The sequence below is a fragment of the Homo sapiens genome, chromosome 4 (genome assembly GCF_000001405.40).
Source record: "Homo sapiens chromosome 4, GRCh38.p14 Primary Assembly".
In the NCBI taxonomy this organism is placed as follows: domain Eukaryota; kingdom Metazoa; phylum Chordata; class Mammalia; order Primates; family Hominidae; genus Homo; species Homo sapiens.
This window is the reverse complement of record NC_000004.12, coordinates 155,427,631-155,453,048: the sequence shown is the minus strand read 5'-3', so window position 1 is coordinate 155,453,048 and position 25,418 is coordinate 155,427,631. Positions and strand designations below refer to the sequence as shown.

General features: G+C 36.9%; 1 long non-coding RNA gene and 2 pseudogenes across 2 annotated transcripts; 1 reads left to right on the top strand and 2 right to left on the bottom strand.

The window, feature by feature from the left end:
- MTND6P17 (MT-ND6 pseudogene 17) lies at positions 5-523 on the bottom strand (annotated as a pseudogene).
- Positions 644-1,432, top strand: MTCYBP17 (MT-CYB pseudogene 17; annotated as a pseudogene).
- On the bottom strand, positions 4,396-24,535 carry LOC105377503 (uncharacterized). 2 transcript variants are annotated; one of them, XR_939374.2, is made up of 3 exons: positions 24,452-24,535; positions 9,329-9,700; positions 4,396-5,581 (listed from the first exon to the last, which is right to left on the bottom strand). It is a non-coding gene; the product is annotated as an uncharacterized LOC105377503 (long non-coding RNA). The 2 variants fall into 2 exon arrangements; XR_939375.3 differs by lacking the exon at positions 24,452-24,535 and adding an exon at positions 10,204-10,415.
- Between the last annotated feature and the right edge of the window lie 883 nt (positions 24,536-25,418).

Genomic DNA, 25,418 nt, shown 5'->3' with positions numbered 1-25,418 from the left:
ATCTATTATCCTGATAATTTCAATCAGAACATAAATACCAACAAATAATCATCAACCAGCAACTACCACTAATCAGCATTCATAACTGTACAAGGCAGCCACATACACAGAATCTTCACGCAACAACCCTGCCCCCTCACCCTCAAAAATCGTCCAGCTCTTTATGCTATTAAAATTAACCATGATCCTCACTGCATCATGCTCAACTATTCACAGAACCAGCATCAACTCCATTATTAGTCCTAATAATAAGGCTCCTCAGATATCAATACTTGACCCTCATGTTTCAGGATACTCCTCAGTAGCCATCGCTGTGGTATAGCCATAAACAATCATCATACCACACAAATGGGGAATTAAAAAAACATCAACCCCACGAAAGCACCACCAAAATTCAACAAATTCAACCCACAGCACCACTAATAATTAGCCCTAGACCTCCGTAAATAGGATAAGGTTTCGAAGAGAAACCTACAAATCCTATAACCAAAGTGACACTTAATAAAAATATAGTATATGCCATTATTCCCACATGGACTATAATCATGACTAACGACATGAAAAATCATTGTAGTATTTCAACTATAAGAAGGCTAATGGCCAATATATGCAAAACACACCTGCTAATAAAAACTATTAATTATTCATTGATCTTCCCACATCATCTAACCTTTCTATATCATGAAACTTTGGCTCACTTTTTGGTGCCTGCCTAACCCTCCAAATCATTACAGGACAGGACTGCTTTTGGCCATGCACTACACATCAGACACCTCAACTGCCTTCTCTTCAGTCACTCATATCAGCCGACATGTAAACTTCGGCTGAATTGTTCGCTATTTTCATGCTAATGGCAGTTCAATATTTTTTATCTGCGTCTTCTTACACATTGGCTGAGGTTTATACTATAGATCATTTACATTCCTAGAAACCTGAAATATTGGCATCATCCTCCTACTCAAAACAATGGCAACAGCATTCATAGGCTACATGCTCCCATGAGGCCAGATATCATTCTGAGGCGCTACAGTAATTACAAATCTACTATCAGCCATCCGATATATTGGAACTGACCTTGTGCAATAAATCTGAGGTGGGTTCTCAGTCGACAAAGCCACCCTTACATGATTCTTCACTTTCCATTTCATCTTACCTTCATCATTACAGCCCTAGCAGCTGTTCACCTTTAATTCCTACATGAAACAGGATCTAATAACCCTTCAGGGTTTTCATCAGACCCTGACAACATTACCTTCCACCCCTACCATACTACCAAAGACATTTTAGGTTTAATTTTTCTCCTCCTCCTCCTAATAATTCTAGTACTATTTTCGCCTGACCTCCTGGGCGACCCAGATAACTATGCATTAGCCAACCCCCTCAACACCCCATCCCACATTAAGCCAGAGTGGTACATTTTGTTTGCCTATGCAAGCAAAAGTGTTTATCCAGACAACAGAATATTACTCAGAGCTAAAAGAAATAAGCTACAAAAGGCTATTAAAAGACATGGAGGAATCTAAAATGCATACTACTAAGCGAAAGAAACCAATCTGAAAAGGCTACCTACTGTATGATTTCAACTATATGACATTCTGGAAAAGACAAAATTATGGTGACAGTAAAAAGATCAGAGGTTGCCAGGGATTAGGGAGGAGAGAGGGATGACGAGACAGAGCACAAAGGATTTTTAGGACAATGAAACTGTTCTGGATGATACTGTAATGGTGAATAGATGTAATTATAAACCCATAGAATGTACAACACCAACGGTGAACCCCAATGTAAACTGACTTTGGGTGATAATGATGTGTCCATGTAGGTTCATCAGTTGAACAAATGTATCACTCTGATGGCAGATGTTGGTAATGGGGAGGCTATGCATGTCTGAGGACAGGGAATATATGGAATATTTCTGTATCTTCCACTCAATTTTGCTGTGAACCTAAAATTGCACTAAAAAAGTATATTTAAAAATATTATTGTGGACCTCAAAGACTTCTGTTTATGTAGGATATATCCATAATGTCAAATATAAAACTACATGAAGTTAGAAAAATGGTAAAAGTTTATTGTGCATACAAAGGAACAATTCACAAACCAGGAGAACTCAGCCCAAGGTGGTAAGAATCCCCACTCAGAGCAGTTACAACATAGTTTTTACACATAAAGGAGGAAGTATGTGACCTTTTCTGTGACTGCCTGTTACACATCATCATTTTGTTAAGGCAGCTGGAGCTGTTTAAGCTAATTTCTATAGCTGATTGTCTAATTTCACTGATGCATGTTGACAAGGATATAAAGCTTATGTTTATGATTTTGTGTTTTGTTGACGCTTACAGCTAGTGTTGGTGGGGAATCAAAATGACCGATGTTTTGGCCATGTGGTAACAGGTGGTTGGCTTTGGGCTATATCTACACTGTGACCTCCATTTTTATTTTTTATTAATGACATATAGAGTGTTAGAAATTAAAACTGAGAATTTTTGAATATTTATTAGTTTGTTTTAAAACAATAATAACAAACCTATTTGATTAATATAAATACTATATTTTAGGAAAAGTAACTACATGTTTCCAAGCAAATAATATCTGAGAAGAGTAGCACTGTTTTGTATTTCATAACTGTCCTGCTTAATAGATAATGGCTGGATTCTCATATCTACTTCTGCATTCAATCTGTTTTGATGTATTATTTTTGTTGAAGTACATAATGAAAATTTGGCCTCTCATGAATATAGTTGAAAAGGGGAGGAGTATTTTAATGGTTCTTTCAGACAACTGCGGATATTATTTTTGATACTACACCAAAAATCAATAAATTATATTTCATTAAAAGTTAACTACTATATGGAATGTGAAACCTTATCTATAACTTTTTGTATTCTGATACATGAAAATTCATTGTCATATCTTGAACTTTCAAAAAATCTTTTCCCATGCTTTGTTTTGTAATACCACACACTGATTATTTGAAAAATATTGGCTTGCTAAATTATAAAGATCTTCCAAATTCAATACACAATATCAGAAAATCACAGTCACTAATAACATCATTAATCAGAAAAATTAGCTATGGATTTCCCATAACCTTCAGCAGCCTTCTCCTCACATCTGAGTAATCAGAATTGAGGAACAAGGTCACTCCTTACTGCACAAAAGTAAGGTGAAGATGGGCAAGGGATGATGGAACTGGATCTACCACAATATGTTATATATATTCATACAATGCTGTTGTTGTGTCATTCATATACATATGAATGGCCATAGTATATTTAAGAAACAAAGCAAAGATATTTGCATTTGGAAAGTGACTGGAGAAGGAAGCATGCCAAAGTTCAGTGCTGTTTTTCTTAAGTTATTAGCGCTATGGATAATTTCTTTCATTTCATTTTTGTTTTTTTCTATATTCTCGATTTGATCTTCTTGAGGACCCCTTTGAATAGCAAAGCTGAAAAGGTGCATGTCCTACATCTGATGATAAACGTTCCACTTGATGCTATCAAGTAAAATTGAAAGCTGTATGAACTCTATGTACACACGAGTCATTGTTCTTATGTGTAGTTTTGGTAAATTAAACATATGTTTAGCCTGTTTTTATCAAAGTATCATATGACATTTTGCACACTTTTGTGTCCACTACATGTATTATGTAATGATCTAATAGATGTTGCTAATAAAGGCAAGGAGAAAACCAACTGGCTCTGTTTTTCAAGTATAAATTATATGTGTAAATTATTTAAATATAATATAAATTATATTTGAAATACATTGTGCATCTGAAATATCAGAAGTCTCCCTGACATATTTCCTCATCTCTTCCTTTAATTCATACATTATTAGGCCAACATTAACAATCTTGGAATACATATTCTAACATTAGATCAAGACTATCATGTTAAAAGAAAATCTGTTTTTCAGTTTGTGGCATGAATATAAGTATATCCTGTTGGTTAAAAATATGTTTATGGTAAAATCATCCTAATAATCCATTTTCTATTTCTGTTCCTGCCACTAGAAATGCTAGGGACTAGATCTAAATATGATGTTTGTGTTGTAATCACTGTTCCCATTTCACTGGTCTTTGAGCACTACATAGCAGGAAATCTCATCGTGGGGGAGGATTGAGCTCTTTTTGGTAAAAGACAGTGATACCTTGGGATGTGGCAGCTCTACAAATCTACATTGCTAACACCAGTCAACTGTTCTTATGAAATACTATGATTAATGAAATAAGTATTTAAATACTTATAATGAGCTTATTTTCCTAAGATGGAAGGGACTAATGGCTGATAATTTAATTTTGGTCTCCTATTTGGTCCTCCTCCAGGTTCTAACTTCTAATCAATACCTATAATGATACTTTTTGAAAAATAGAAAAAACACCCAATTAGCTCCATTTTTAATTAAAATTTTAATTTTTAGATAATTGTAGATTCACATGCAGTTGGAAGAAATAATACAGATATATCTCATGGGCTATTCACCCAATATCCACCAATGGAAAAACTATAACAACGCCAAAAAAATCAAACACCACAAAATCACAAGTAACATGCTGACATTGATATAAGCAAGATACCGAATAGTTTCACTACCACAAGGATCCCTCATGTTGCACTTTTATAGCTGCACACATTTTTCTCTTATCTTCACCTTCTCCTTAACACCTGGCAGCCACTAATTTGTTCTACATTTCTGCAGTTTTGTCATTTCAGGAAAAATACATAAATGGAATTACAAGATACAACCTTTTGGGATTGCTTTTTTCACTCAGCACAAATCTCTGAATAGTCATCTAGGTTGTTGCATTAACAATTTTTTTTAAATTACTGAGTAATTTCCCAAGAAATGGAAGTACCACAGTTTGCTTAACCATTCACTTTTTGAAGGACATCTGGATTGTTTCCAGTTACTGACTACTATAATTAAAACTACTACACATATTTTTGGGTAACCTTTTGGGTGGGTATAAGTTCCGTTTCTGTGGGATAAATGCCCAGGTCTCCAGGTTCCTTATTTGGCCTCTGTTGACTCTCAAGTTGTAGCAGGGAGTCTGTCTCCAACTGCTAGGGTTGGGACTTCCAACTCCACACGAGGTGTCTGCTGGTAACTCACTGACTGCGATGGATATGAGTGCCTTGTCATGGCTCCCTAAATGGCCTCTACTAATAATACCACCACAACTACCAACACTACTAAAGTCATGTGGACTCTGCTAACAGTAAGGTGGACTCCTTACCACCCAGTGAGAATGAAACTACCAATTCCTTACTCAGCTTTCCCAGACGTTACCCTGGAAGGAAGGGTGAGTGCCTTGTCACAGTCAGGCATGAGTGGAAAGCTTGGCTTCCCCACTTGGCTTTTGCCATGGGTGGGGTAGAGCCACAGTTTTTTTGTTATTGTTGTTGTGGCTGGCTGGAGTAGAGCTGTTATTGTCTAAAAGTTTTCTGTCTTACTAGTCTTCTCAAGACTGTCTTGGATTTTTGGCTAGAGAGAACAGGCTTTTGTTGGAGATTTGTTTATTGTTTTGTCAGTGTCCATTGGTACTTCCAGGTTGACAGCTGCTTTAGCTCCAAGTCTGGGGGATATATGAGGAGACAAAAACAAAAAAACAATGGAACTCATTACCATGCTGTTCCTTGGGTCTTCAGTTCCCTAGCTTGTCTGCCTCCTTCTCTCCACCTTTTAAGGTCTTATGTTTGACCTATATATAAATGTTTCAGGTTTTCAGTTTTACTTAATGGGCGGAATCAGGAAAAATATGTCTACTCCATTTTTCTGGAAGCAGAAGTCCAACTCCACATTTCTTTAAGGAGTAAAGCTTACCCTGCTCTGTCTGGCATTCAAGTGTGTCCCAATTTACATATTATATCTTCTCATTGGTATACAGAAGAGGAGTCTTTTACTTATCTTAAAAATAATTAATAATTCTGACATTTAGATCTTTTTTTCTTTTTTTGAGCATTGCACATGAAATGGTTTTGCTGCTCCTCTTCTCTGTACTGAAACAAGCTATATTGGTGTGTCAAAGCCAATACAAACACTTGCTCCAAGCAGCCTCCCCCAGCTAAAGAAGCCCACATTGATTTCTGACTATTCTTATAGCACTTGCTCTCTGAACTACTCATTTTGTCCTTTATTACATACACTGCTATCTAGAGACTTTGTGTTATTTGGTGACATTTGTTATTTAATGAATTTCCCATTACTTCCTTGACCTCTAAGATGGTCTTTATACAAAACATAAAGAATTTTATTTCATAATATTTTGTGTCACTCATTTTTGTACCAAAAATATTTGCTTCAATCCCTGTTCATATTCATATAAAAAGTTGCAGTAGTTTCTGAACTACATTCCAAATAGACTTTTAAATATATAGAAGCTTCCTAAAAAATAATCTGGAATTATCAGGATAGTGTTAGTCTAGTTCACAAAATGTCCTAGCATCTGAAGCCTTAAAAAATTGCTAGTTAATATTTGCATTTTATAGATGAGAATTTGAAGCTTTAGATAAAGTCAGTTTGAAAGCAAAAGGGTCAGGTATTGACACTCAGCTGTAAGCTACACTAACCATGTAATATTACCTTAACCAGATCAATAGCTAGTGTTTGAAACATATGATCAAAATTTCTTTTTATAGCATTGTGTTAGCTTCTGTATAAATATAATTATTAGTAACAGTTTTGAAATTAATAAGATGCTTCTTAGAACACATTTACTGCTTTGGGTATCTGATTATTTATTATTTAAAATATCATATTCTTGCCCATCTTTTATAATTTTGAGCATTCTTCCAGGTTGTGGTAATAAAAACACTTCAAGATTACTTACTTTTATCTAGTAGAAAATGCATACAAGTTAAAATGGAAACCAGGTCAATGTACAAAGCAGAATCTGTTAATGAGAGTTTTTAAAAAGGAAAGAATAATCATCTTGAGGTAAAAAATGTGTGTGTGTTTTTTTTTACTTCAACTGTGAATATGGCTCTCAAGCTTAATTTATGCTATTCTTAAACATCAGCTACTTTCCTGGAAAGTGAGGTATAAAGCAAACACACATCAAATCATATTTACTATTAAAAATTAAAAATTTCAGAGGTTTATCTCAGAAAAAAGTTCCCAAGTTATAAAAAGTGTTTGCAAATAAATACATTTTTGGACATCTATAATATACTGTTTAGGTTTGCAGGAGATCAAAAAGAAAAATTTAGAATATACTTAAAATGGCAATAAGGATTATTTATATTTCTATAGTACTTTACAATTAACAAAGTTCATCTATGTACATTTGAATTAATTTGATTCTCAAAGAGTCTGCAAATTAAGCTTTACAGTTTTCATTTTAAGAATTTTAGCATTCACTTTGAAAATCACTTTCTTTGCTACTCAGTAAATTTTCTGTGCATTCTAATTCCCCATGTAATTTGAGATGACTTCATCATCATATGTTCCATCAAGCCTTATGATATTTGCACATTCATTTTAAGCAAACATATTAAAAGATATTACACAATTAATTTCCATTTCACAGAGTGTTCTTCCTTGGTTCAATAGTACGTAGATGATTAAGTATCCACAGTGCTGCTATTGTTCCAGGTATTCACCTGACCTCAATTACTGAAAGAGGGTAAAATGCCCTGAATCTTCCTGTTTTGTGGTGCTACACTGTGAATAATCTCTTTAGATTCTAAAGTCTAGAATGCATAATTTCTGTTTAGTCAATTATTAGTCCACATTGTTTATGCGAGTTCATTGAATTCATTTATGCTAGATAAACACAGTGGTAGATTAAGATTTTAAATCTTATTCTATATATATTTTTCAGAAGTTTTTTTCATGCTTTAGCAAATTATTTATATTCCCAAAACAGGCACATCTGTACAAACTATATGCCTTGACCACAAAAATCTTTAACTGAATTTAGTTGTTGCAGAGCCTATGCAGAGTCTCACCCCAAATCCATCTTCACCTCTCCTTCCTGAGCACCCTGCTAGGTAACATTTCCCTTCTTCACTTGCATTTGGTTACAGCCATATGACTGACTCGGTGGAATGTGAACGAAGTCAAGTGCATCTGTCCTCAGCTGGCCCATAAAATCCTCCCCTGCATGCGTTTCTTCTTCTGATTGCCCAGAATGCTGATGACCCACACTTACCTTGGAAGCCTTATTAAGAATGACAGAATGTTCATTATCCTGAGTCTTGAATGACTGTGTGAAGGGCTGCCCCACCAGCCCGTTCACTGATACTACTGCATTACGTGAGCAAGAAAACATTTTCATTATGTTTACACTCTCCCATATTTTTGCATTTACTTGTTGCAGTCAGAGAAGAACCCAGATTTTGTCAATCTTAAGCTTATAGAGTTTGGGAGATCCTCTTTACGAAAAATAATATAAATTACAAACACAAAATTCACAAAAGTGAATTTACTTTAGAATAAGATTTTTAAAATCTCAATAAATTATAGAAACCTTAGGAATTTAAGTTCTTTTCTTCTGATATCTCTATTGGCAATTAGCATGATTTCTTAGGCAAAAATGCTTGTTGGTTGCTTGACTTACTCTTCCCACCTAAAACTCCTTAAAACTTCCAGCATCTCCCAGCTCTCAAAGAGGCCTTGGCAAGGAAAGGACCCTGGAGCTTAACCATCAATAGCTTCACAGTGAATCTGTTTTTGGTTGCATCAATTAGTTTATCCTAATATGAAAATACAAGTCAGGTCTCATAGGTAGGCAGAATGAGAATGGTACGAGCAATGAGGAGAGAGCACAAAACTTAATGGTTGCACAACTAGCAATACCCTCTTAAGGTAAAGGGAGAAAATAGTTGTATTTATTTAAGCTTTACCTTCCATTGACAAAGCAATTTTGCAAATCTTTCTCAAGTTTTTAGTAATTGGTGTTGCTCATATATGTGGCTTACTCAGAGGGCAATGCCTCTACTCCATAATCTATAGGACTTGCCCTTTCAATACTTTTAACTTCAAGGCAGTCAAATTTTAAACCTTTTCCTCGAAATGGAGGAAATTAAGTTGATCTGTTTTCAAGCTTATACTAGAACACATTGTAGGGTCTCTGAAAATGATACTCCAAAATGATGGCCTTAGAAGCAGCTCTCTCTGACCTTCTGCTACCCTCATGGCTCTGGCCTCTCCATTCTCCCCCAGGCCCACCATAAAACCTAGATTCCTTCTTTCCAAGGTGGGTCATAGAAACCAGAGCTCCTTTTCCCCTGGAGCCAGCCATTAAAACCTGAAAATATTATTCTAACCATCACCCACCATTCTGTATAAAAATGGGCCATAAAGAAATTAACTGACCTACCTTTTTTAATTGTAGGTCATAACACCCTCTTTCCATAGAGGGTCCTGCCACACACCAAGGAGGAACGAATGCTGCGCAGTGAGGCCAAGAGGAGTCTAGACAGACAGGCCTTGCTGGGTTTCCCAACTCTATTGGCAGTAGATCATTCTCTTTTTGCCCAATCGTATTTGTACATGGCTGTCCATATTTTGTCGACCCTAAGCATTAAAATGTACAATTCCTCTGTATCTTTGGATCTTCATTCTGAAGGCTCCTGTGTTATGTAAAACTATGATCAATTAAATTTGTATGCCTTTTCTGTTATTAATTTGACTCTTGTCAGTGACTTTTAACACATCTTCAGAAGTTGAAGGTAAAGCTTTCCTTCGGCTCCTACAACAACATAGAAGGCACTTAAAAATATGCATATAGGGTAAAAATGTCCATAGCCTGCAAGCCCTTTCACATTTCCTAGTCTTACATATTTTTAAAAAATATTAGTAAATGCCAACCTAACCTTTAGTGAGATTAACTGATGGTATAAAAATCTTTGTATTATAAGGAGTCATTTTCCTCTTCAATTTTTCATGTGCTATATCTATACATTTTTAAAAGCAATTTTAGGAGTCTAAAATAACACAGCATCAACCCAAATTATGTGATCTAAAATATCCATATTATGATAATAGTCCAATAATACCCCATATTGTTTGAATATCCATGGGGTATATCACAAGGAGTTAGATCTTTCTGTGCTGGGCGAGCCTCGTCTACCGCAGTTCACGATCCTGGTCTCCTCTGGCTGGGCTCCTTTTCGTCAGGGTCTGCAAATGCCCTAACAGCAAATACTCATACACTTAAGAACCTTTAAGAGCTCTGAAAAGCTCTACACTCACTCTAAAATCTAAGAGGAGAAAGCCAACCATCCTCTCAACAAATGTCAGGAATCCATATCTTTCTTCTTCTTGCCTCCCCAGTGAGACCTGACAACAAGGACACAAATCTCCCAATTAAGGCATTTCCTCTGAATCCAGTACTCTCTGCTTTCAGTCCTAAACGCTATGTCCTCAGGGCCGTCTTTCTATTTACCATATGCCAGAAAAAGAGCACAAAGAGGGAATGATAAAATGACAAACTGTGTTTTCCTTTAGAGACCTTTTCCCTAGAAATGGTTCATTAACCAAACAGAGAAACCAATCCACAAAAACCATCCTGAGGTTTTGAATGTTTAACATCCTAGGAGCAGCACTGGGCCACACTGCCCCCTGGAGGTGGTTTGTGGGCATTGTGCAGACTCTGTGTCACTGAAATAAAAGGCACAATGTGTTTCGGATACGCGGAAACTTTTCCTGAGTCATTTGGAAGATTTGTTTTCTTGTTCTCAAGACTTTTTTTTTTTTTTTGGAGTGACAGAAGGAGAAAACATAGGAATTCCTGATATTAATTGAGGGAATGAGAGGCTTTCCCCTAGAACTCAGAGTAAGCATAGAGGGAATAGAACGGGAACACTGTTAAAACTGGAACGTAGATATGTTTTGATTAGGGGTCACTTGTTGTAATAAGGTGTCTGAAAGGTTTTTCATAATGCTGGCACATAAATGCCTAGAATATATTAAAAGGAGGAAGGGAGAGAGGGAAGGAGGGAGGAAGAGAAAATCACAGTACAAAGGGCCAGTCTGAGATGCAAGGTATGGATATTGTGGGCGTTATTTGTTTCAGATTTAAAGTTAGACAACACCTACCCATCCTAACCAACACCCTATCCAGCCTGCTGCCTCACTTTTATTGATACGTGTCCCACCTCAGCATCTTTTACCCCGGTTTCCCAGATCTGGATGGTACGGGAAGGAGATAAATGATAAAGGAAATAACTGTGTCCAACAGCTCCAAGGTGGAAAAAGAATCTGAGAGCTGGTGGGAGAAAAGCAGAAAAAGTTATTCTGTAAGAGAGAAAATTCCTGGAGGGACTCAATCTAAAGAAGGCAGCAAATGGGTGGGGAGCAAATAGGTGGTGAGGATCAGCCCTGTAGAGGTGTCAGCCCAGAACCATGGCAAAAGCCATGGCTGCCAGGGCAGAGGAAGGGCAAAGCTGCCGACAGTGTCTCACATGTACAGATTATGTGTTAGGTAGCCCTTTTCCAAGGGACAACAGAAAGAATTAGCACTGAGCTCAGGAGAGGATCCCAGAAAGAGGAGGACTAATTTTTCTGCATACCACATACTGGCTCAGACTATCTAGATATGGGGTTCTACTGTAAATAGAATCTGTTTACTCTCAATAGCAAGTGACAAAAGAGAAATTTAAGTTTACAAATAATGCTTTTGTAAAAGTTATTTTCCTTCCTTCTTCCTTTCTTTTTCTTGCTTTCTTTCTCTTTCCTTGCTTCTTTCTTTTCTTTCTCCTTTCTTTTCTTTCTCCTTTCTTTTTTCTTTTTCTTGCTCTTTCTTTCTCCTTTTCTTTCTTTCCTTCTCTTTTTTGAGGCAGGGTCTCACCCTGTCACACAGGCTGAAGTACAGTGGCATGATCACGGCATACTGCAGGCTTGACCTCCCTGGCTCAATTGATCCTCCCACCTCAGCCTCTCAAGTAGCTAGGACTACAAGGACGCACCACCACATCTGGCTAATTTTTTTAATTTTTGTAGAGATGGGGGTCTCACCATGTTGCCCAAGCTGGATAAATTATTTTCTTTCAAATTGTTGGCAAAACATTTTAGTATAACAAAAACACTCTTGCTCTTCTTTAATGTTATTTAAAATTTAAGAAAAATCTAAACACAGAGCAACGATAATTATAAAAGAAAACATTATTTTAATATTTAAAAATATTTCATTTTCACTCCAATCAGGAAACAGTTGAGGGGACGGGTGCAGTGGCTCACGCCTATAATCACAGCACTTTGGGAGGCTGAAGCAGGCAGATCACCTGAGGCCAGGAGTTTGAGACCAGCCTGTCTAACATGGTGAAACCTTGTCTCTACTAAAAATACAAAAATTAGCTGGACGTGGTGGCACGGGCCTTATTCCTGGCTACCTGGGAGGCTGAGGCAGGAGAATTACTTGGACCCGGGAGGCAGAGGTTGCAGTGAGCCAAGATCCCGCCACTGCACTCCAGCCTCATTGACAGAGCAAGACTCTGTCTCAAAAAAAAAGGAAACAATTGAGGAATAAATGTGAGTTAGTTGCTTATTGTAATATTAATATAATCAATCTAGGTATATTTGAAGACATAGCACACTTTTGCCATTAAACTTATTACACTGTTATATTTTCATAGCCCAAAGTGTGCCCAGAATTGGTTCCTTCTGGTGGGCTTGCGCTGAGTGTTACAGTTCTTAAAGATTGTGTGTCGGGAGTTTGTTCCTTCGGATGTTCAGATGTATCTGGAGTTTATTCCCTCCGGTGGGTTCGTGGTCCCACTGACTTCAGGAGTGAAGCTGCAGACCTTCGTAGTGAGTGTTACAGCTCTTGAAAGTCGTATGTCCAGAGTTGTTTGTTCCTCCTGGTGGGTTCATGGTCTCACTGACTTCAGGAGTGAAGCCAGAGACCTTCGCAGTGAGTGTTACAGTTCATAAAGGTAGGGCAGACCCTAAGAGTGAGCAGCAGCAAGATTTATTATGCAGCGCAAAAGAAGAAAGCTCCCACAGCGCGGAACAGGACCCCAGCGGGTTGCCGCTGCTGGCTCCTGTGGCCAGCTTTTATTCCCTTATTTGTCCCTGCCCACATCCTGCTGATTGGTCCATTTTACAGAGTGCTGACTGGTCTGTTTTTACAGAGTGCTGACTGGTCTGTTTTTACAGAGTGCTGATTGGTGCACTTACAAACCTTTAGCTAGATGCAGAGCACTGACCGGTGCATTTTTACAGAGTGCTGATTGGTGCATTTATAAACCTTTAGCTAGACAGAAAGTGCTGATTGGTGTGTTTACAATCCTTTAGGAGACAGAAAATTTCTCCAAGTCCCCACCCCACCCAGAAGCCCAGCCGGCTCCACCTCTCAAAAGCACAGAGGGACAAGCCTTACAACTGAATATTGATAAAAATGGAAGAATTTGGGTAAAATATAAATATATTCACATATTTGGGAATAAACTGAGATAGGTTTTACCTTTAATTTTTCCAAACTGATTTTCTAAAAATTACTTTGGTTACCAAAATTTGTATTAAATTAGGAAAACTCCTCTTAGAGTAATTTTCACCAAAACAAAACAAGCAACAGGTTTTTTTAAAAAAGAGGTTCACAAGCTGAGGGTTCCAGATTAAACATTTCAAGATATCCAAACACACACACGTAAAACAAATAATTAACCTTGGAGAAAGTCTAGCCTTAAAAAATTATCTATCTATCTATCTATCTCTCTCTCTATCTATATAGATAGAGAGATAGATAGATATATGCTTCTTTTTAACTAAAATACTATTCAGATATGAGGGATACATTATGGTGTTGCTCAGCAGTTTTGACGTGAATCACACCGGTTAAACTGAATGTCATCCTTGGCAATACGTATAAGCCTGGACTTATCATAAGCCTCATAAAATATTCAGAGGATTTGTTTTTTGATTTGTTTTGTTTCAACTGCTATATTCAGATATCCAAAGAAAAGTTTTAAAAAATAAAGTGAAAGGAAAAAAGAAAAGGGATAGAGTGAGACAATCTGAATGCTGAATGATAGAATTGCAGTGTCCATTTCAAAGCATCCCTTAATACCAGCTGTCTCCCCATTTACTCATTTCATTCATTCATCAATTGTCAAGTGTCTGTCATGGACCAGGACCTATTCTAAGCTCTGGTGATATATTCAACAAAACAATGACCCTGTTCTTACTATTTTTGTTGAAAGACACAGAAAATTTTAAACAAAACAAATAAACTACTAAATATATAATATCCTACTGTAATAAGTGCTTAAAGAAAAATGATGTAGGGTAATGGAATAGAGAGGGGTGGGAAGGGTTGGGATAGAGTCTGGCAACATGGGCATCTCTGATGTGGTGACTTCAGAGGCGAGATCTGAATGCAGTTCTTAGCATCTACCTATGGGGATTCCAGGAGAAGAACATATTAGGTGGGGGGCTGCAGATATAAAGGCAACAAGCTAGAACAGAGTCAAAAATGGGAAGAGTAGTAGTAGAAGTAGCCCAAGACCAGAGTGTGTAGGGCATTGTAAACACTTATGAGGATTTGGGATTATATTCTGACAGATGCTTGTGACACACAATTGAGCTAGCTATAAAAATGATGCTTTAAATGCCCACAAAGAAAATGGTAAGTAATAAACATGGGCTATCAATCTTATTAACTACATAGCTGGTACCAAATGATTTACATTCTGCATATTTCCACTACCTCAACTGTAATCAAGCTAGTTTTTCTTTTTTACAGCTCATACTATTAAAAAACATTTTTTTTCACTTAACATGTAAGACTATAATGTTGTCCGGGCACGGTGGCTCACGCCTGTAATCACAGCACTTTGGGAGGCCGAGGTGGGTGGATCACAAGGTCAGGAATCCGAGACCAGCCTGGCCAACATAATGAAACCTTGTCTCTACTAAAAATACAAAAATTAGCCTGACGTGGTGCCACGTGCCTGCAGTCACATTTACTTGGCAGGCTGAGGCAGGAGAATCGCTTGAACCCGGGAGGCAGAGGGTACAGTGAGCTGAGACTGCACCACTGCACTCCAGCCTGGGCGACAGAGCAAGACTCCGTCTCAAAAAAAAAAAACAAAGACTATTATGTTGAATATAATTTTTTTTTTTTTAGACAATTTCACTGAAGCAATGTGTTTCATTTCTCATTGACGACTTCCACAATTCTGATTAGAACCCATGGTATGCCTCCTGGGAGATAATCCCTACTGTAGTGATTAAACATAATAGGTACCAACAGTAGAAATTGTAAAATAATATATCACATGTTAAATTATAAAAAACATATGACTCTATTGATCTAAATATAATATAAGATAATTGTTTCTCACCCTCCCCACTTGTAATTCTTGGTCAGTCTAGTAAACTATATACTAAAAATCCATTATCAATCAGGTATAATTTATGATACATCCACATTATTCAAGTGCTTATACAATAATGCTGCTATTTAGAAATCTTTGCCAAAATCAGGAAAAATGCTCTTCTCTTTTTACGAGTCCCTAATTAACTGAATCTTTTCATGAGTGGTCAAATAAATATTTAGAGTTCCAGAAGATAGAAATCAGTGGAAATGTGATTATTCCTATATTTCTACTCAAATTCATAAAACATATCATGCAATAATTACATATTACTTTTACACATTTCTCAGTCTTTTTCTACTAGACCTCAGTTTAATTTAAAAATTCTGACCAGCTAAATTACTCTTATTTTTAGGGAGGTGAAAAAAAAAAGAGAGAGATTTGTTCAAGGAAAAAGAATACCATTGGTAACACTTGGTAACACTCTCAAAGTGAGATGGAAACTCGACTTCCTGAGCCTTTTTAATAACCTAGATAAGATGACGTCAGCTATAACTTATCTTACTTTCTTGGGGCATTTTGTGGCAATCGTCTTTTATTTAAAAAAAGTAATAAGTAATTATTATGAATAATTATTTTTATAAAGAGGAAAAAAGTAATTCCCAGATTATTTTGAGCTTCCATTTTCTTACTTTGTAAATTGCATATATTTTCTCAGTGGAACATAACCTTCAATGCCTTGCACACCATGCCTAAGAAGCAACAGTAAGAGTTTGCCAAATCCATCTTTCCCAGATGAAGCAAAGATTATCACATGGCAAACATTCAAGACTTTTGGTCTACACGGAAGGTTTATTCAAAGATGTTCTGGATCAGTGGGCTAAATCTCTCCCAGATCCACCCACAATCATACTTTTAATATTTCACAATTTCTACCAAATGGTTATTCTCTCCTTCTTTCAAACTTATGCTTATTTGGAAAACCTTAAAGAATGGTTTTGCTTCCCACATAGAAACATTCCGGGCTGAGCACGGTGGCTCATGCTTGTAATCCCAGCACTTTGGGAGGCCGAGGCAGGCGGATCATCTGAGGTCAAGAGTTCGAGACCAGCCTGGTCAACGTGGTGAAACCCCATCTCTATTAAAAACACAAAAATTAGCTGGGAGTGGTTGTGCATGCCTGTAATCCTAGCTACTCTGGAGGCTGAGGCAGGAGAATTGCTTGAACCCGGGAGGTGGAAGTTGAGATCATGCCACTGCACTCTGGCCTGGGAGAGAGTGAGACTCTGACAAAAATAAAAAATAAAAAAAAAAGATGAAAGAAATATTCCTATGTCTAATATACACTTGATTTTCAAATAATTTTATTATTTATTTATTTTGTATTTATTATTTGTTTTTGCAAACAAGATCTCACTCTGTCACTCAGGCAGGAGTGCTATGGTGCAATCACAGTTCACTGCAGCCTCGAGCTCCTGGACTCAAGCCATCCACCTGCCTCAGCCTCCCAAGTTCTTGGGACTGCAGGCACACACCACCACCCAGCTAATTGGTTTTTTTTTTGAGGGGGGCAGGGGGGTTGTTTTGTTTTTGTTTTATAGAGACAGGGTCTCACTTTGTTGTCCAGACTCCAATCATTTTTATATGCAGCAAAAGAAAAATGAGATTCAATAGAACTATAATTCACATAAAATAGAATCTTGATAAATAAGGAAAACTTTCCTCTCTTTATAACGTGATTCTTCCTGAATTCATCATACATTCAATTAGTCAAAACTACATTCTGCTCTTTCTTTTGCCTGCTTTAAGGCTTGGTCATTAGTTATTAATTAATATTCACTGGCTGTAATGTTCAGAACATATTAGATTTGCAAACTTCATCAGACCACCAAGGGCAATGTTGTATCTGAGTGGAAGGAACAGGTTTGATTATAACCCATACATAGGATCACATTAACCATGTGAAAAGAGGGTGTTGAAGGAGGAATCCCAAAATTGAGAGAGTGATAACAAATCTGAATGTGATCACTACATTAGCAACCAGTTATCAGTACCCTTGTAGAACTTTTAAAACTTTAGCACATAATTTACTCCCAAGATAGAACTAAGCAATGTAATCTCTCAACCACAATGAGATAATAAAAAAGGAACCAGCTTACATGTCGAAAAACTAAAATCACCTCTTCATATCTTTTTCAATAAAGAAGATATCCATTTTTCTTCCATACATTCTGTACACAATTTCTCAGCTTTTATGGTATCCCTGGTAGTGGTCTCTGCCTTTGTGATATATTTAGGAAAAAAATAAGAGAAAGATAGCATTTTTGCTGGGGGAGACAGATGATTAACAATAAATCTAATAAATAAATTACGTAGCATGTAAGAAGATGAAACTTCTATAAAAAAACTAAAGACTATCATAAGAAGAATGAAAGTGGCTATGGGGAGGGGCCTATTGCAATTTGCAATAAGTGAATCAGGGTAGACGTTATTCAGAAAATGTCATTAACTAACGAGACATAAAAGAAATGAAGAAGCAGCTCATGTAGCTATGTGAAGGAAGGGTATTTCCAAGAGGAAAAAGGGAGTGTAAAGAGCCTAAGGAAGCAACATACTTGGCCTAATCAGGGAATGCAAGGAGGCCAGCATGGCTGGACCAGGGTGAAAGAGAAAAATCAGCTAGGAAGGTGATGCAATAATCAGGCCAGGGATGACTGTGACTGGGACTAGAGTGGAGGCAGTGAAAAAAAAAGATGAAAAATGGTCAGATTTGAATAGTACGTTGAAAGCAGAACCAATAGAATTTTTCACAAAAACAAATTCAACATTTGTCATCCACATGTCAATATTCATTATCCATAGGTCATCATTAAGAGAAGAAAAGAAACAGAGAATTACTATTTATTGAATTGAACTCTGATCCAGACAACAGTAGCAAGTTGATGGTAAAGGGATGGAAAAACCAACACAGGTCTCTGTGGATTAATAATGAGTTTCCAAATCTCTTGAAGATTCTGCTAGCTTAAATTTTTTAAAATAACTAAAATGTAAAGAACTTTAAATGTACGAATGACAAAGAGTCAAAGTAGACTTATTTTGTTGTCATGTTTTTCAACAGGCTTCTGAAAACACAGCTGTTAGAGAGAACTGAGTGAAATATTCTATACAATAAGAGCCCCTTGTCTGAAAAAAACATTCCCAAAAGATACTCAGAGTGGACAAGAGCCCAGGAAGGAAACTTCTGGGAAAGTGAAGATTCAAACAAAATGCTTATTTGTAACAATAGAGAGAAAGTAAGGAAATGTCTTTTATAATTGCCAGAGTTATGCAGAAAGCCCTCCAATCCCTATTCACATAACCCCCATTAACCCAGACCTTGAGTCCTTTTTGTGTCCTCTACTGAACTCAGAAACTTGGATGTCCTAGAATATTTAGTATCACTTTCCTCAAGGGTAGAAAAGTTTTTTAAAACAAATATTACATTGATAATAGATAACACGTGTGTGCTACGTGCCAGGCACAGATTATCCTGTATGACAACACCCCTATGTAGTAATTATCTCATTATCCCCATTTTATAATGATGAGTCTTAAGTCAAAGAAGTTAGGTGTGTCCAATGTTGCATAGCTAGTAAGTGGTGAAATCTAGTTTCTAATACAGAACAATGAAAGAGGGTTTTGGTCACCTGTATGAAAAATCACAGTTTCTGAGTAATAGGAAGGTCATTGTCTGCAAAGCAAACTGAATAAACAGAGTTGTGAAATAAAATCATATTTTGAGCAAAAAATCCATCCTTTAATGTTTTTCCTCATTTGTGGTAAGGTCCACAGTTTAGTTCCATACCTTGCCTGTGCAGCTTAATTCAGACCTAGGACACCATTTCCTCACTTCTATGCCTATTTAAAACTCACCACTCAATGCCTTACAACCTCCTTTATGCCTTTCCTACTCATTCTGACTCATCTTTCCCTTTCCCTAAAGGGCTTATTTCTCCACTGATGATTCTGGGGCTTAATCATACTATTTGCCTTGTTGTTGAAGTGTTCCTTGTAAGTGTATCTAGGGTGATAACTACATGTGAAAATTGATGTCTACAGATGCACTGGATAGGTCATTTTCTATCACTGAACTTTGCACTATTTATGGTTTTCCATTTTCAGTCAGCAGCAAACAGAACAAACAAACTGATATGGTTTGGCTTTGTGTCCCCACTCAAATCTTATCCTGAACTGTAATCTCCAGGTGTTGAGGAAGGAACGAGTGGGAGGTGACTGGATCATGGGAATGGTTTCCCCCATGCTGTTCTTGTGATAGTGAGGGAGTTCTCACGAGTCTGATTGCTTCGTAAGCATCTAACATTTCCCCTGCTTGCACTTCTCTCTCCTGCCACCATGTGAAGAAGGTCCTTGCTTAACCTTCACGTTCCACCATGACTATAAGTTTCCTAAGGACTCCCAAGCCATGTGGAACTGTGAGTCAATTAAACCTCTTTCCTTTATAAATTACCCAGTCTCAGGTATTTCTTTATGGCAGTGTGAAAACGGACTAATATACAAACACACATCATTTAACTTTGCAAATTCAGAAAAAATCAATTCCAGATTAAAAATCAGTCTTTCCTGTAACTTCTCAGTAATCAATGCAGTATTTCTTCCCCAACGTTCTCTTTTGTGGGAAGGGCTTCTATAGAGCACCATAGCAATCAAGATGGGGAAGGGATGAAGAGAAGTGGGACATCTTTGGTCTGTGACCCTCCTCTGTTCTCACAGGCTTCCACAGTGATGTGATGGGTCAGCCAGTTCTTGCAACTGGCCTTTGTCACCATGACGTGGGTTACCTGATGTTCACAGTCCTACACGCCCTCCTTTGTTTTCAGTTGGCATATTCAACAACAGAAACTTTCAATTCTGTGGCTCACTCCCTCTTACTTCTGGGCACTTTTGGGAGCCCTAGAGACTTTGGAAAACTCTCCCACACTATTCTGGGCTTTGGGAGAGCAGGAGGCCACCTCAGACTCCTTTTTGCCTTGCCTTGCCATCCTTGCTAATCCCTACTCTGGTTCCATTCTGGGCTTCTCTAAGAGGGTTGCAGTGCTCTTAGACCATGTCCTGGAAAATGAGATACAAATACTCTATACTCTAGGATTCCTCCCCTAGAAAGTGTACGCCGTTCGATCTTCTTCCTCCAGAACATAGGATGTGGCCTCAGTAGAGGGCAGTAGGAAGCATCCCACAGTAATCTCTAAACTATTTTTCATCTTTCTCTTCCTCACAGCTCCACTCCTACCTCCCAACATTATTATAAAAAGGTCTTTTCTGAGCCAGGCGAGGTGGCTCACGCCTGTAATCCCAGCACTTTGGGAGGCCGAGGTGGGCAGATTACCTGAGGTCAGGAGTTCAAGACCAGCCTGGCCAACATGGTGAGACCCCGTCTCTATTGACAATACAAAAATTAGCCGGGAGTGGTGGCACATGCCTGTAATTGCAGCCACGCTGGAGGCTGAGGCAGGAGAATTGCTTGAGCCCGGGAGACGGAGGTGGCAGTGAGCTGACATTGTGCCACTGCATTCCAGCCTGGCCAACAGGGCAAGACTCCATCTCAAAAAAAAAAGAGAAAAGAAAACAAAAAGTATACTTCTTACTTCCTCCTGTGTTCTTCTCTGCTTTGTGGTTTGCTGATTAAAATCTATCCTGCAAATCCTTTAGACTTTGCTTTTAATGTGCAATGCTAAAGTTTTCAAGTTCGAAGTTGAGCATTAACTCTCCTTTTTTGTTCTGTATGTATGTAGTAAGAAACCTACTTGAAAAGCTGTACATATAAATAGTCATTGATGAGGCCTGAGTCATAGGGGAATGGATAGTAGTGAAAGACCTTGAAAATTATACAATTTAAAATAAAAATTTTGTTCTACTGGTATGTCTTCTTATCAATAACTAAATACAACCTTTCTATAGCTTCTGTCTTATATATTGCCAGAGCTAGGCACCTAGTTGTATTCTTGACACATTAAGTGAGTAAATAAAGTAAAGACAAGAAAAAATAGTTATTGAGAAATGTTTCAAAATGTCTTAAAGTGCATGGGAAAAATGCAACATTAGTAATAATAACTGTAATTATACTAACTGCTAGTGCCATGAACCAGATGCTGTTCTAGTACTTTGTGTATATTTACTCATTTAATCCCCACAAGTACCCTCTGAGTTAGGTACTATAATGAAGTGCACAAAAGTAAAGCAATTTGCCCAGGGTCAAACACGAGAAATCTGGGAAGCTGAATTCCAACCAAGGCTGTTTAGCTCCATTCTTTGAGTTCATACCAACTCTGCCAGTGGTACCTCTCAGTAGAATTTCTTTATGGATATGCCAATTATTAAAAATACATGCAAACTTATGCCAGACCTTTCAATGCATGTTACACAACCTCATCTCTGCCTTCAACCACTTTCAACTTGAAATTATTTTCTGATGTTTTCCCTGAAACCTTTGGCCTGAAAATATTAGATGTTGAGATTGTACTGCCTCCTGTTTTTGCATTTGGTTTCCTTCTTTCTGTAATTACAGTTGGACATTCAGTGAATTTTTTAAACGAATGTGTCTTTTATTATCATTTCTCAGATGCTGGCTTAGGGTATTTGTCTCTCTAACTCATATCTGCATGACAATTATCACTGTCTGTGCTTTTTCATCCTGTTTTCTGTTCTTCCTTCAGGGCATTTTGGAGGTTAATTTTCCAGGCTGTCCTGTCAAATGTAGCAAAGCCTCATTTTACTTTACTAATCATATGTAAACATGTGTTGTTTGAGCTAAGTTAATGTCCTTGCTACCTGCTGCCTAGACTTTTTTATGGCTCCAAAATGTCATCCAAAGTATCCTTCCCACATCTGAAATAGCACAAAATATTTATTCTGCTAAAATCCTACCTTCTCATATGTCAAAGGCATTGAACATTACTGTGATAGGCAAGACCATAGCAAATCATAACCAACAAGCTTTAGCAATATCTGTCCCCTACGATATGCTGCATACTTATCCTGCTCCTGTGTAATACATTTCTTTAATATAGGTCAAAAGCTATCCAATGACAGGAACCAGGATTTCTTGAACTGAAGCCAATGGTATATATTACGGAAATGCTCGGTAAACAATGATTAAAGACAATGACAATGATGGCACATTTATTCTAACTGGCCTTAAGTTAATGTTATAAAGGGGAGGGTTTCCTCCCTGTGGTTAGACTGAATCAAGAAGATCATAGTTGTAAACCACATAAATATATATTATGTTTTCCACAATGCAAAATTTTGACCTGCAACCTAATTTTTATTAATGCTCTCCATTTTTAAATTTCTTATGCTTTTGTGATCACTTAGAAAAAAAAATCTCAATTGAATATTCATAGTCATCAATATCACTCACTAATATTTTGGTTTATCAGAAAAGCTTATAACTGTTTTAATTTGAATATTAACACCTTGATGTGTCCAGATTTTAGTCATGAACTTATATTACCATGTCAATTTTGAGATCAAATTCTTCAACAGAAAGTAGTAAGAAAATAATCTCACCTCACTTTTTTTGTCTCTTCCAGCTAAAAAATCAGAAAACAATGACACAAATTTTATATGCCTCTAAATTAAAAATTAAATAAATTTAATTTTTGGCAGCTTTAAATAAAATTTAATTGTAAGCTTACATAGTTATAGCATTTATTCCTCCTATGAAAATAATGATCAATGCACATCAATTTGAATTAAATAAATAAATATTTAAAAAATAATGATAAATTTTGACTGTTACTGTAAATGTCTCCATGACAAATACTTACCACACATACACAACACACACACACACACACACAGACCGGTAGTGTCCTCCCAGATAAATGATTGGAGCATTTTACAATGCATCAGTTGGGAGTTTCCCAAATAGGATATCTGGCAAACTGTCTAAAATATTATAGATAAACTCTGTCAATCACAACCCTCCCAACACTCCCAAGCTCAAAGAGTTTTCAATCAGAAGTATTTTACTTCTGAGCAGAGCCAATCACCAGTTCTAAACATTTGAAGAATAATTCCAACTTTCAAGAAATAAAACAACATCCAAAAACCTATAGAAAACAGCAATAGAACCAGAAACAAAAGAGAAACATGTAAAATGCTAATTAGTGATCTCATACAGATATAAAAAAGACTTAGCAGTTAATTAATAAGAGTAGCAGAAGTAAGCAAAAATAAGCAGAAGGGTTGGCTGGCAGAAAGAGATTTTAGGTGTCTTAGGGAAATAAAACAAAAAAGCAAGTAACTGGAGAATATATAAGTGGGGGAAAAAGAGCTAAAAGATTGATCCATGATGTTCAACTTCTAAATAAAGAAGATTCTACAAAGAAATAAGGAAACATGAAATAGGAAATTATCAAAAATATAACTGAAGAAAATTTTTCAGTACTGGAGGACTTAATCTCTCATTGAAAGGAGACCAGATGTTTACAGCAAATAATGAAATTATAGCCACTCCAATGCATCTACTTATAAATTTCAGAGAAGCACGAATATCAGCCCTAGAATTTTCCAGAAAAAAACACAACAAAAACAAAACTTACATTTCTTGATAGCAAAATGAGATAACAGAAGACATAAATGTAATTCCTTCAAACACCCAAAGAATATTGTTTGTTATTTAAAAATAAAAATGTAGGTTATTTAATTGATTTGTAAGACTTACTTTTACATACAAAGAAAATTTACACCATGTCTCCCTCTTAAGAAGCTCTTAAAAGTTATGCTTCAAGAGAAATAGAAGAATGCACAAAAGAAGGGAAAGACATAGAAAGAATATAGAAAAGCGTGAACAAATCCAAGAGATGGAAGAAGATAAAGCCAAGTTTTATATTCATAAGAGAAAAACTTACCTCATGAAGCAGGAGGGTATGATTTAGGTTTACAATTGTCAATGCTGAAAATTAATACAATGATTGACACACTAGAGAAGCTCAGCAATACATTTTGAGAAGTAGAAGACATGCACCCCCAAATCTAGACCTGTCCCAGAAAAAGTGGCAGCAGTAAAATGTAGCTACATTGGTAAGAAACAATATACAGAAAATATGTGCACTCTGGAGTCAGAATGTCACTTGCAAGTCATATGATTTTAATGTATTTTCTGAAGATGGACATAAAAATACCTTATCTTCTAGAATCTTATCCTTGAATTTCAGCAGGCTTGTGACCTGCTTGTAACCAGCACAAAGCAAAAGAAGTAATATTGCATGACTCCCAATGCTAGTTCATAAAAGGCAATTCAGCTTCCTCCTTATTAACTGGGTCAATTTCCCCCACCCCTCTTTGTAGTCCAGAGATAACATGGAGAAATCTGACAGCTCTGGGCTACTGTGCTGTGAGGAAATCCAGATCACACACAGAGGGCACCTGTAGGTGTTCTAGTTGACAGCCCCAACTGAGATTACAACCAAAAGCAACCATCAACTGCCAGATTTGTGAGTGGAAAAACCTGCAGATGATTCCTTGCAGATAACCACCCCCAACTCTGGTTAGTCCCATCATAAATTCCAGATAGCTTAGAAGAAAGACAAGCTATAGCTGCTGGACACTGTTCAAACTTCTGACTCATATAATACATGAGCATAATCAATAGTTCTTAAGTATTGGGGTGTTTTATTTTGCAGCAGTAGTAACCAGAACAGATAAATAACGTAATTTCACTGTGCTTCTGATTCCTTATCTGTTAAATGGGCATAGTAACACCTTAAAGACAGTGGTAAGGATTTTAAAATGTGTAACAGGAATTTGTAACAATGCCTAACACTAAACACTCAGTGTCTGTTGTTGTACTACAACAACAGTTGTTATTATTGTTATTATAAATATTATTCATCAACCTCAAAAATCTGGAGATAGGAAGTGAAACAGAGGTGTCTGGAGTACTGCCTATAACAATTAGCTGCTAAAGATTGCAGTATTATAAATCTTAGCAGAAATCATCTAAATCTTACTGGAGGCCTTGTTATTACACTTGGGTAAACAAACTATTTTTATGTCTTCCCTTTTGGCTTAAGACAATATAACATCTATGTTTCCACAAAGAGAAAGAGAGTGGGAAACAGAGAGAGGGGAAAGAGACTGAGAGAGATG